The sequence below is a fragment of the Homo sapiens genome, chromosome 2 (assembly GCF_000001405.40).
Source record: "Homo sapiens chromosome 2, GRCh38.p14 Primary Assembly".
Classification (NCBI taxonomy): Eukaryota; Metazoa; Chordata; class Mammalia; order Primates; family Hominidae; genus Homo; species Homo sapiens.
Window position 1 is genome coordinate 25,645,057 of NC_000002.12, and position 13,597 is coordinate 25,658,653.

General features: G+C 40.7%; 1 protein-coding gene across 31 annotated transcripts in view, besides 2 other annotated features; it reads right to left on the reverse strand.

The window, feature by feature from the left end:
• Positions 1 to 13,597, reverse strand: part of DTNB (dystrobrevin beta) — a 296,335-nt gene that overhangs the window by 267,814 nt on the left and 14,924 nt on the right. For 30 of the 31 annotated variants that reach the window (NR_147180.2, NM_001320935.2, NM_001351393.2 and 27 more), the window contains exon 2: positions 7,538 to 7,605. Coding sequence is in view for 22 of the 31 variants with exons in the window: in NM_183361.3 (NP_899205.1) it covers positions 7,538 to 7,604 (67 nt within the window). In the remaining 9 variants the exon portion in view is untranslated. Of the gene's footprint in view, positions 1 to 4,965; positions 5,167 to 7,537; positions 7,606 to 13,597 lie in introns of those variants that run through there. The other variant, NM_001256308.2, reaches the window with a different exon arrangement.
• Positions 5,085 to 5,229: an enhancer, noted in NCBI's record as "145 bp 2:25873082 sequence used in MPRA reporter constructs". NCBI's record gives its function as "activates a minimal TATA-containing promoter with rs17047116 allelic activity by MPRAs in C283T melanocytes {active_cell/tissue: C283T}" and the evidence as "EXISTENCE:reporter gene assay evidence [ECO:0000049][PMID:36423637]".
• Position 5,157: a transcriptional cis regulatory region, noted in NCBI's record as "rs17047116 or 2:25873082 MPRA-significant variant associated with a GWAS melanoma risk locus at 2p23.3". NCBI's record gives its function as "allelic transcriptional activity by MPRAs in C283T melanocytes {active_cell/tissue: C283T}" and the evidence as "EXISTENCE:reporter gene assay evidence [ECO:0000049][PMID:36423637]".

Genomic DNA, 13,597 nt, shown 5'->3' on the forward strand with positions numbered 1-13,597 from the left:
ACAAAAATAAGAATAATAGCAAGCAAAGAAAGTGGTAACTAAATGGCTGGGTGCAGTGGCTCATGCCTGTAATCCCAGCACGTTGGGAGGCTGAGGCAGGCAGATCACTTGAGTTCAGGAGTTTGAGACCTGGCTGGCCAACTGGGCAAAACCCCGTCACTACTAGAAATACAAAAATTAGCTGGGTGTGGTGGTGCACGCCTGTAATCCCAGCTACTTGAGAGGGTGAGGCATGAGAACTGCTTGAGCTGAGATTGAGCCATTGCACTCCAGCCTGGGTGACAGAGCAAGACTCCATCACAAAAAAAAAAAAAGAAAAAAAAAGAAAGTAATAACTAAATGGACTGGATTACAAAAAATAATAACAAAATCTAATCTGTGGGGTAAAAAAGAGATTTTTTTTTTAACAGGGTCTCACTCACCCAGGCATTGAAGTGCAGTTTCACAATCTCAGCTCACTGTAACGTTGACTTCCCAGGCTCAAGCAATCCTTCCACCTCTCAGCCTCCTTAGTAGCTGGGACTACAAAAACATGCCACCACACCTGGCTAATTTTTGTATTTTTCTAGAGACAAGGTTTCACCATGTTGCCCAGGCTGGTCTCAAACTCCTAGGCTCAAGCAATCCACCTGCCTCAGCCTCCCAAAGTGCTGGAATTACAGGCATGAGCCACTGCACCTGGTCCTTAAAAAAAGATAATACTAAAAATGGTATAAATTTCATTAAGGGGGTACCCTAAAATATTCCAATACCCTCATATTTGAAAAAAGTTACAAATATTGATAAGCTATATTTTAATTGATGTTAATATTTCTAGGGTAAAGAAAAGAAAAATATACAACTCACAACCAAGTAGAGGGAAACAATGGGATGGAAGGAAGAAAGCAAGCTCAGTTCCTCTAAGAAGGGGAAAGAAAGGACAAAATTGAAGCACAAAATATGATGGAAATGTAAACCAAAAATAACTCTAAGGCCCCCCAACCATCTGAATGGACTTCCTTCTCAGCCAGGGCTCTTTTAAAATTTAACCTGAGAGACTGTTTCAGGCCATGATAGGAAGTTGGGATCAAACATGCCTCACCGTACCTCTCGGGCATTAATAACAACACAGACTTTAAGCCTAATAAGAAACATATTGGCCAGGCATGGTGGCTCACGCCTGTAATCCCAACACTTTGGGAGGTCGAGGTGGGCGGATCACCTGAGGTCAGGAGTTTGAGACCAGCCTGACCAACATGGTGAAACCCCATCTCTACTAAAAAAAAATTAGCCAGGCGTAGTGGCAGGCGCCTGTAATCCCAGCTACTTGGGAGGCTGAGACAGGAGAATCGCTTGAACCAGGGAGGCGGAGATTGCAGTGAGCCGAGATCATGCCATTGCACTCCAGCCTGGGTGACAGACTGAGACTCCATCTCAAAAAAAAAAAGATACAAGAAACTTATTACAACCTATTCTCTCTTCAGCCTGCTACCTGGAGGCTTCATCTGTATGAGAAAACGCTAGTCTCCACAACCTCTTATTGCAACCCAGACATTCCTTTCTATTGATCCCAGGTCTTTGGATAAACTCAATCAATTTTTAACCAGAATACTTTTAAATCTACCTATAAGCTAGAAGGCCCCCCACCTCATCCCTTCAAGTTGTTCTGCCTTTCTGGACCAAACCAATATGTTTCTTAAATGTATGTGATTTTAGTCTCATGCCTCCTTAAGATGTATAAAACCAAGCTGCATCCCGACTACCTTGGGCACATGTTCTCAGGACCTCCTGAGGGCTGTGTCACGGGCCATGGTCACTCATATTTAGCTTCGAATAAATCTCTTCAAATATTTTACAGAATTTGACTCTTTTTGTCAACAGAAAATATGAAATATATGTGTATTCATTAAAAAGGCTAGACAAAATAAACTCTTCAGTGACAAGGCAAAGACTGCCATATTAGTTTTTTTCTAAATATTCTAGCTTATGCTACTTACAAGAGACAAAAACATAAGAATTAAGAAATTTAAGTAAAAGAATGAAAAGATGCATACTGTACTAAGTATGCTAACTGAAAGAAAGCCAGCATTAGCTCTATCAATATGCTACAAAATAGACTTCAAAGCATCAAAAGCATTACTAGAAAAAGAGGGTAACTACACAATGACAAAGGATTCACTTTCCTAGATAGACATAACATTTTAAAGGTACATGCATCCAAGAATTAAAGTTCTAAAAGCTAACAGAAGTACAGGGAAAAAATTAATACTCTTGATCAAAGCAGAAATATTTAACATCTTTCAGTGATTAAGATCAAGCAATCAAATCACCAAGGACAAAAAAGATTTTAATGAAATATGCAAAAAGCTTGATCTAAATAATGCATAAATCATACACATTATTTTCAAGTACTCATGGAATATTTGGAAAAACACAAAACATAAATTAACAAATTCAAAGATTCTAGATCTTCTCACATTTCCTGACCCAAAACCCAATTAAGCTATACAGGTTTTTTTAACTAAAACATTTACTTTCAAATTTAAAAAGATACTCCAGCCAGGTGCGGTGGCCCACGCTTGTAATCCCAGCACTTTGGGAAGCCGAGGTGGGAGGATCGCTTGAGCCTTGGAGTTCAAGACCAGCCTGGGCAACAGAGCAATACCCTGTCTCTATCAATCAGCCAATCAACCAACCAACTGATCAATAAAAAGATATTTTTAAGTAATTAATAATAAAAATTAGAGGAAATAGAGAACTGATTATGAAAAATAGTAAATATCAGAACACTTGGGATGCAAAAAAAAAAATCACAGGAAAGTTTATTCTTAAATGCTTACATAAGAAAAAAAAGGCTGAAAACAAATGGCCTTAGTAACCCAACATAAGTTGTTAGAAAAATAACAGAATTGCCTAAATAGGAAGAGGAAAATACACAGCACAAATGAGGCAGAGAACAAAGATACACAAAGAGGACCAATAAAGCCAAAAGTCAGTCCAATAAAATTGGCAAACTTTAGAAAAGACAAAATAAAATCAGAATCTCTGAGCATGGAGGCCTGGTATCAAGCACTTTGTACAATCAACTGGAGAGCTTTCATTTTGGCACCAGAGTTGAGGATTACTCTTCTCACCTGTCACCTTTCACTTTTCTTGGTGATTTTATATCATGTAAGAATCATAAACTACCCATTTATTTCTATGTAATATATTCCATTCTTCTTTTAATAAATATTTATCGAGGCACCATCATGATAAACAGATGTGATACTTATTCTCATAATGCTTAGAGTCTACAAGATAAAATATTAAGCAAAGAAAGAATAAGCTAATTTCATCGCTGTGTTCATAACAGAAAATGTAAAAACTACTGTCTAAAAACATAAAGGCTTAAGGATATTATATAAAGTCATAATAGTAAAGGTAACACAAGGTTGAAAAATACAAACTATGTAACAAACCTGCACATGTACCCCCTGAATCTAAAAGTTACAATTATTTTTTTAAAAAGAGCTCCAAAAGGAAATATTCTGAAAACTAAGGTTAAAAAAAAACTATTTAAATTATTAAATTATTATGACTGCTTTTATGCTACAATGGCAGAGTTGAGTAGTGTGACAAAGACCTCATCATACAGCCTGCAAATCCTAAAATATTTACTTTCTGGCTCTTTAAGAAAAAGATGGCTGGCCCCAGCACTATATTAACAGAGTAAAGAGGAAAGACATTCATCTCAAGGGAAGCAGAAAACATCTGATAAAATTCAATATTCAGTTATGACTTAAGAAAATAATGATAATGATTCCTGGCAAATTAGGACATATCAGTTCTTTCACCTTTATCTGGTTAACCTGTACCAATCATCACTCTTAACAGTGAAATATTAGAAATATAGAAAGAATAGAAATATTAGAAATATTCCCATGAAAATCAAAAACAAGACGCTATCCTTCCTACCTTTTTTTTTTTTTTTTTTTTTTTTTTTTTGAGACGGAGTCTCGCTCTGTCGCCCAGGCTGGAGTGCAGTGGCGCGATCTTGGCTCACTGCAAGCTCCGCCTCCCAGGTTCACGCCATTCTCCTGCCTCAGCCTCCCAAGTAGCTGGGACTACAGGTGCCTGCCAGCACGCCCAGCTAATTTTTTTGTATTTTTAGTAGAGACGGGGTTTCACCATGTTAGCCAGGATGGTCTCAATCTCCTGATCTCACGACCCGCCTGCCTTGGCCTCCGAAAGTGCTGGCATTATAGGCGTGAGCCACCACACCTGGCCATCCTTCCTACTTTTCAATATAACCTCTGCGGCCCTAACCAGTACACTAGGTCAAGAAAAAGGTATAAGGATTACAATTACAAAAGGAAGAGTCAAAATTGTCTTTCTTTAAAAATGGTATAGTTACTGGCCAGGCACGGTAGTTCATACCTGTAATCCCAGCGTTTTGGGAGGTAGAGGTGGGAGGATCACTTGAGCCCAGGAGTTCGAGACCAGCCAGCCTGGGCACCATAGTGTGAACCCATCACTACGAAAAACAAGAAAATTAGCCAGGCCTGCTGGCACACGCCTGTAGTCCCAGATACTCAGAAGGCTGAGGCGGGAGGATCAATTGAGCCCTGGAGGTTGAGTCTGCAGTGAGCCGTGATCATACCACTGCACTCCAGCCTGAGTGACAGAGCAAGACACAGTCTCAAAGAAAAAGAAAAAAATTGTATAGTTACCTACCTAAGTAGGAATCTATAACCATTAAGACTAATAAGAGTTGAGAAAGAGTACTGGATTCAAAACTGACATACTAAAATCAACATACTAAATGATACAACTGAATAATGGCTGGAAAAAGGTGATTCTGGCATCCATAGAAAGTAGTTATGCTGGAGTTTCTGGTTGACGTTGCTGGAAATGAGGGGGTGGGGCTTCCAGCAGCAGACACTATAGTCACCCATGCAATTCTTCCTGTGAAGAAATATAGGAGACTCAAGAAGTCATACTTACCAAACGTCTCCCAGACTGACTGTTATCCTTAAGTCAGAGGATGATAATTCATATGAGGTTTCTGTGTAAGAGTAGTAACATTCACAAAGAAGTAAACCCAGTTCTTGGCAGGACTACTTCAGATCTCTACCCCATCAACGCCTGCATGCGTATTACTTAAGGCACCCCAGCCTCTTCTTAGTATCAGGAATTACTGTGTTTGTGTATTTGGTTTCCTATTTTGTCTGCTTCCCTTTACTAACATGGAAGTTTCATGAAGTGAAGTCAGGGACTGTGTTTTGTTCTCCTCTGTAGCCCTAGCACCCAGAATAGTGCCTGGAGCATAGCAGATCCTCAATAAATGCACTAAAAGTTGAAAGGAAAAGATGACCCCTATGCTGAGTTTTGAAGGGTAGGCAGAAGCAGTATGACGGGTGGTGGAGGCAACAGTATTGTGCAAAGGCGGAAAGGCATGAAACCACATGATCTGCAGGAAAGCCAATTCAGTATTGCTGGGAAGTAACACGCAAGGCATGTGATGGAAAAATTGGGAACTAGTGGGCAGAGCAAAAAAGGGGCCAGAAGGGCCTTGTTTGGCATTCTTAGGAGTGGGGTCTTTCCCATTAAAGTGATGAGAAGCAAGTAAAGGAATGTAAGCAAAGAAGTAGCACAGATTTAGGCCAGGCACAGTGGCTCAGGCCTGTAATCCCAGCATTTTGGGAGGCCAAGACAGGCGGATCACTTGAGGTCAGGAGTTTGAGACCAGCCCGGCCAACATGGTGAAACCCCATCTCTACTAAAAATACAAAAATTAGCCAGGCGCGGTGGCAGGCACCTGTAATCCCAGCTACTCACGAGGCTGAAGCATGAGAATCACTTGAACCCAGGAGGTGGAGGTTGCAGTCAGCCGAGATGGCGCCACTGCACTCCCGCCTGGGCGGCTGAGTGAGACTCCCTCTCAAAAAAAAAAAAAATAATAATAATAAGTAGCACAGATTTAAATAGTTCAATCTGGTAGCTGATCATAGACAGCAGATTTGAGAGGGTCAAGACTGGAAGAAGGGATCAGGAAATTATTGCTTTGGTTCAGAAAAGTACCAGTGATTAAAAAAAATTAGTAATAAACACAACCATCCATATTAAGTATGTACTACTTACTTCATACTTAAGTATGTGAGTGCCAGGCACTGTGCCAAGTGCTTTATTCACATTATCTCATTTAATCTTCACAACAATTCTATGAAGTCAATGCCATTCCTGCTTTATGGATGAGGAAACAGAGGCCCAGAGAGATTAAGTTAACTTGCCTAAGGTTATTCAGTCAGGAAGTGAGGCAGCCAAGATCCAAACTAAGCAGTCTAACTGCAAAGCTGGACTCAAAGCTGCTGTGGCGTGACGAACAGATTCAAACTCATGTACATAGTAAAACTCAGATGCCTTCTGATTTCTTTGGAGGTAGAAGGTGAGGTGGAGGGAAGTGACTCCAAGGTGTCTGGCTTGGATTACTAGCCATTAGAAGCTCCGAACTACAAAAGTCCTTAATGATCACCCAGTTGGACTGCCTATCCAATGCCAAAATTTCTTCTTTATCACCCCTAACAAATAGTTATCCAGCCTATGACTGACAGGACAACACATGGCTGAGCTGAGTCAAACTCTGCTTACCATTACCAAGACCCTAAAGGTGTCAAATATGTCGAGAGTTGGGTCTTCTGAGACTTTTACCCACTGATTTTCATATTGCGATATGCAGAATTCTAGAATTCTGCAAGGACCTCAGAGGCTATCCCAGGCTGGCTCCCCTCTCCTGCTTCAACCAAGCACTACCAATCTTATCATACTCTTATGTTAAGGGTCCTTGTAAGATTTCACTGGGGGAAAAAAAGAGTACAGTACTTTTGAAAGGTTTCCTAATCTCTGGTCCAGACCAATTACCCGTATTTCATGACAAAGGAATTTGAGGTCCAGCAAATGCAACCTTGAGTTGGTCAAGGTCACATGGTCATGGTCACATAGACAAGTAGTCACAGAGCAAAACAATCCTGCAAGGATTGGGAACCACCCAACTTCTCTCAGCCATCTTCTTCTCTCTGTTTGAACTGTATACAACAATGTAAATTTTAACAGAATATTTAAAGTTAAAAATATATCAAAATACACATTCACTCTTTTTAGTTTTCCAACAGCTCTAGGTGTTGCCCTAACACTGAGTCCTCTCTGTCTCAGAACTGTCATCTAGTGGAAGGTAATTTATATAATGTATTAATCATTAGTCACCACCTGCAAAGTTCATGGTAACAATGGAGTTACAGCAAGAGATCTAAATTGACTGGCATGGTACAAAATCACAGACATTCTAGGTAACATTTCTGCCTATTTATTTATGGCCTTGTCTAAGAAAGCAAGTCAATTCTATTCAAATATATGCTTTGGCTTGGGGTCCTTCAACTCCATGATTCTTTAACTCCCATTCTTCCCTCTGCAAAGCTTATAACATAAAAGTTGTAACTGATTAAAGCTATGACTTGATCTAAAAAAAAAAAAAAAACCACACAAACATTCCCGCACATATGAACAAGGACTCAAGACTCACGCATTTCTATGAACAGCTGCCTCTTCTCTGCCATGGTCTTCCGCTTGTTCCCACTTTCCTCAATCATCCTAGAGACAAAGAAAGATACAATAAACCACTGTATAATTCGACAATTCAATCAAGTGCTAATCATTCTATTGTGAAGAGGGACCGGAAACCAAGTTGCAAATGCACATTTTAAGACAGTATCAGTAAAAATAAACTGGAAGCCTGATTCAGAAAAAGATAAACTGCCATCCTTTTATTTGATAGCTTCTAAAATATTAGTAAATCAATACTTGTATGAGCTCATACACTTGCTTACTGTGCTAAAAATATGGGGCTGACTTACTTCTAACTTTGATTATTTTCTCTGCAGAGTCCTGGATTAGTTGAGGTAACTTCCCATATCTCTACTGTTTTATATGGATAAACATGTTACTAAATATAATTTAGAAAATAAATGTAATGAAAGGCTGTAATAAAGGACATAAGAACAGTTAGCTTATACATAAAATATACATGAATATTCAATTTCATATTAAAGAAATCAGGTATTAATCCCTGATACGGTTTGGCTGTGTCCCCATCCAATTCTCAACTTGAATTGTATCTCCCAGAATGTCCATGTGTTGTGGGAGAGAGGTAATTGAATCATGGGGGCCGGTCTTTCCCGTGCTATTCTCGTGACAGTTAATAAGTCTCGTGAAATCTGATGGGTTTATCAGGGGTTTCCGCTTTTGCTTTTTCTACATTTTCTCTTGCTGCTGCCATGTAAAAAGTGCCTTTCACCTCCCACCATGATTCTGAGGCCTCTTCAGCCATGTGGCACTGTAAGTCCAATTAAACGTTTTTTTTTTAAAAAAAAAAAAAAGAAAGAAGGAAAAGAAAACTGTTCAGAGCTTGCTTTCTTTCTTTCTTTCTTTCTTTCTTTCTTTCTTTCTTTTTTTTTTTTTTTTTTGACAGTCTCACTCTGTAGTCCAGGCTGGAGTGCAGTGGTGCGATCTCAGCTTGCTGCAACCTCCGACTCCCGGGTTCAAGCAATTCTTGTGCCTCAGCCTCCTGAGTAGCTGGGATTACAGGCACGCACCACCACGCCTGGCTAATTTTTGTATTTTTAGTAGAGATGGGGTTTCACCATGTTAGCCAGGCTGGTCTCGAACTCCCAGTCTCAAGTGATCTGCCTGCCTCAGCCTCCCAAAGTGCTGAGATTACAGGCATGAGCCACCACGCTCAGCCCTGTTCAGAGCTTTCTTCCAGACTCAGTGACCTGGGACTGGAGTGTGGGAAGAGGGAAGATGCCGTTCGTTCACCTGCTGTCTTAGACCTTCCCAATGTGCCTTTTACTCCCGCTCTTGATAACTGCCTTCTGTATCTTTCCTTCACTTTCTTCTACTACAGATCATTTTTCTCCTTTTTTCCCCTCATCCTTCCACATGTATCATCCTCCAGCTTAATCACCAAAACCCTACCCGGTAGATATAATGCCCATTTTACAAATGAGGAAACAAAAGTTCAAAAAAGACAAATTACTTAATCAAGGCTACAGGGACTGATAAGCAGCAGGGCCAAGAGATTCCAAAGCTCGTGTTCTTTCCACCACACTGTACTCCTTCCACTTTAAAGCAATATAACTCCCTGCTCACAAAACAAACTTCTGAATTACTCTAGGTGAGCTCTGTCATAACACAACCACCTTTAGAGATTGGCCTGGTTCTCAACCAGGGACAATTTTGCCCCCATGGGACATTTAGCAATATCTACAGTCAGTTTTGGTTGTCACAACTGGGAGGGTGCTACTGGCATCTAGTAAACAGAGGTCAGGGACACTGCTAAACATTCTACAATGCACAGGAGAGTATTCACAATAAAGAATCATCCAGTCCAAAACAGCCATAGTGCTGAGGCTGAGAAACCCTGAGACAGACCACGTAACGAAATTTTAAAAACGGTAAACATTCGAAAACAGCCAGTATTAAATTTAGCCACTTGTTCAATATGATATTCAACAGCAAAACAGTTGACATCCTGAATTCTAACAATAGTTTTCTTTAACTAGCCTTGAAACTCATCTTGTCACTCAATTTCTGCATCTCAAATTCATCATTTGTCAAATGGACATAATGGGGATACGTTTTGGGAAGCAATGTGGAATAACAAAAGAATGAGTGTTTTAGTGAATTAAACTAAATTTCAAACACTAGCTCCAACACTTGGACCCTGGAAAAATTACTTAATCCTTCTGAATCTCGGATTCATCATGTGTAAAACTGTGATGATCACGAGTACCTTCCTCATGGATTGTTGTGAGGACTCACAGCAAATGCCTAGAACAGTTCCCAGCACACAGTCAGTGTTCCCTAAGTGTTAGAATGGACCAGCACACCAAATTGATGCTAAGAAAAGTCTGTTACTCAACAGGAGCCATAACACTGACATCATCTGTTGACTGAACAGGTGCAGCAGACCCTGCCTTCATTCTATCACCAGGCTACGCTAAGGTCTAACTGTCCAGTTTCTAGTTGCCAGCATCTGCATTTCTTTGCCTGAAGACAGACTGTGCTAAAAATTAGACCCAAGTTTCGACTGTGAAAGCAGGCAAATTACAAAGATTGAATTCACAGTCCTGACAAGATTCTTCTGAACCTTCTAGGCCAGAAGCGGCTTTCTTCCTCTTACTACAAGAGGGCGGTCTCCCCTGACTAAAAACTATGCAGAGGTCTTAGCTGGGATGCATGCCTCCAAAGATGCCTACCCTCCTGGAGATATGTGCCTACCTCCCTCATTGCTTCTAGGCTAACAACCAGGCATTGTCAGAATAGGGAGGTACTGGCCTTCCTTTTGATGAAAGCATTGATTCACCAACACAGTATGATATGATGAGATGTACTGGCAAGAACTGGAAGAACATACCTGGATCTTGAGACTACTGAACTTGGTGGTCAAGTATAAGACTGGCAAGGAAACGTCTGTTGATATGGGCCACTCTTCCATGACTCACAATTTAATGTTCCAAAAAGGGCATCTGGAGCCAGTCCTAACATGCTACTAGAATGGCTCATTTAAGGTGGAAATAAATGTTTCCAATGATGTCTTAAAGGAAATAAATTGAAAATCCCGGAACTGCATGGCAAGGTATTAAGGAAGGAGTCAAAAGAGAGTCTGTATATCCCCTATCCCCTACCAGGTACACTGGCCTGACAGCACCTGAGAGCTTTCTCTAACCTCGAGTCCATTTTGTTCCCGGCATGGCACGCCTGACATACACGCCTGTCAGGTAGATCTACCACCTCCTGAAAACAATCTTAACCAATAACTGAAAGAGATGGTATATAAATACTCCAACTACCTTTCCCCTGAAGGACTATAACTCTAAGACACAAGTTTTACATTCGCTCCTGGAGTTTCTCAGTGGGAATACTGTGAAAAAAATCAGTACCTGGCTTGAAAACAAATCTCGTATTTGCAATCTTTGCTATCTTCCCTCTCCTATCTCACTTCCCACTCCCCCACTGGCTTTTCCAAGGATAACCTCCAAAATAAAATACTTGCATTTAAATCCTTGTCTACAAGTCAGCTACTGGGAGAATTAAGGCATTAAGTAGTTTCATTTCAAGCAATCTTATAATTCAGGGTACATAAAATCCAAATTAATGGGATACACAAAAACTGAGATTACTATAAACCATTTCCCTAGGCCCAGTCAAAGGTGACTCCATGCCAGTGCTTTAAGTACACTAATGCCTGTATCTTTGTAATTATGCTTTTAACAGTTCCATACCTAAGAAGGGTATTATCTACTCCAATACCACAGCTGATGAGATACCCTTGCCATTCTGATATAATCTTGAAGACCAATGCTACCATGAATGTAAGTACATCTCTCTACTTCCTTCCACTTGAACTCCTAGCACTCTGCCTTTTCTTAGCCACACAATCTAGAGATAACCAATATCATTACCTTCACACTAACTCTAATTTCAAACCCTGCCATTTCCTTCCTCATAATCACGCTCATATCCACCCTCTTTTCCCATTTCAACTGCCAAAATCTTTGTCCACACTAATGCACAAATAAAATTCTATGACCTTGTGATCTCAGAACTCTCCACCCCTGTCTTCCTATGGTTCATCCTGTGGGCATACAGAGAAATCCAGTAGGCACGTTTATTGAAACATCTCTGATCTTCAGTGGGTCCGAATCACTGCTTCATTTCACCCAATTTAAAGAACCAGAACACATCTTCAGTCTATAAAGACCAGGGTCCTAGCTATGCAAATGTAAGAGAAGTTTCTTAAATCTAAAAGGGTTGAAACTTGGCCAGGTGCAGTGGCTCACGCCTGTAATCCCAGCACGTTGGGAGGCCGAGGCAGGCAGATCACTTGAGGTCAGGAGTTCAAGACCAGCCTGGCCAACATGGTGAAACCCAGTCTCTACTAAAATACAAAAAAAATTAACTGGGTGTGGTGGTGCATGCCTGTAATGCCAGCTAATTGGGAGGCTGAGGCAGGTGAATCTTTTAAATTCAGGAGCCAGAGGTTGCACTGAGCCGAGATCATGCCACTGCACTCCAGCCTGGGTAACAGAGTGAGACTCCGTCTCAAAAATAAATAAATGAAAGGGTTGAAACTGAAAGTTCCTAGAAAAGGCTGTTTAATATCCTCAGCCCAAAGCAAAACCAAATGAATGGGTTTGGAAAGCACAACCCATGAAATAAAAAAAAAAATAGTTAGATTTTATCAAAATTAACTGCCCCACAAAAGATACTATTAAGTGAATGAAAAGACAGGCAACTGAGTGACAGAAAATATTTTCAAAACACGTATCTGATGAAGTACTTGTATACAAATTATATAAAGAACACTGGGCACGGTGACTCACACCTGTAATCCCAACAGGATGTGGAAGGCTGAGGTGGGCAGATCACTTCAGCCCAGTAGTTCAAGACCAGCCTGGGCAACATGGCAAAAGCTCATCTCTACAAGAAAAATACAAAAACTGCCAGGCAGGCTGGTGCACACCTGTATTCCTGGCTACTCAGGAGGCTGAGGTGGGAAGGATCGCTTGTGCCCAGGAGTTCATGGCTGCAGTGAACTGTGATCACACTACTGCACTCCAGCCTGGGTGACGGAGCAAAACCCTGTCTCAAACAAACAAACAAACAAAACTCATAAAACTCAGTAACAAAACAACAGCTTAATCAAAAACAATCAAAAGCTCTGAACAGAAATCTTACCAAAGAAGATACACAGATGGTAAATAAGCATATGAAAAGGTGTTCAACAACACCTTTTGTTGGAAAATCTATTCGGAAATTACAAATTAAAACAACAAAATAACACTACATACCTACCAGAATAGTTAAAATAAAAAACAACTGACAACATCAAATGCTGACAAGGGCCGGGTGCAGTGGCTCACACCCGTAATCCCAGCACTTTGGGAGGCCGAGGTGGGTGGATCATCTGAGGTCAGGAGTTCGAGACCAGCCTGGCTAACATGGCGAAACCCTGTCTCTACTAAAAGTACAAAAATGATCTGGGCGTGGTGGCACACACCTGTAGTCCCAGCTACTCAGGAGGCTGAGGCAGGAGAATTGGTTGAACCTGGGAGGCGGAGGTTGCAGTGTGCTGAAATCGCACCATTGCACTCCAGCCTGGGCAACAGAGTGAGACTCCATCTCAAAAAAAAAAAAAAAGAAAAAAAAATGCTAACAAGGATGCAGAGGCAGCAGGAACTCTCATCATTGCTGATGGGAATGCACAAGCAGTCACGATGTGAGAAACCTGGCAGTTTCTTATAAAGCTAATCAGTCTTACCATACGATCCAATAATTGCACTGCTAGGTGTTTGCTCAATTGAGTTGAAAATTTATGTCCACACAAAACCTGCACCCAAATGTTTACAGCTTTATTCTTGATTGCCAAAAGCTGGAAGCAATGATGATGCCCTTCAATAGGTGAATGCATAAATAAACTGCAATACTTCATAAATGGAATATTGTTCAGCAATAAAAAGAACAAAGTATCAAGCCATCAAAAGACATGGGGGAACCTTAAATGCATAATGCTAAGTGAAAA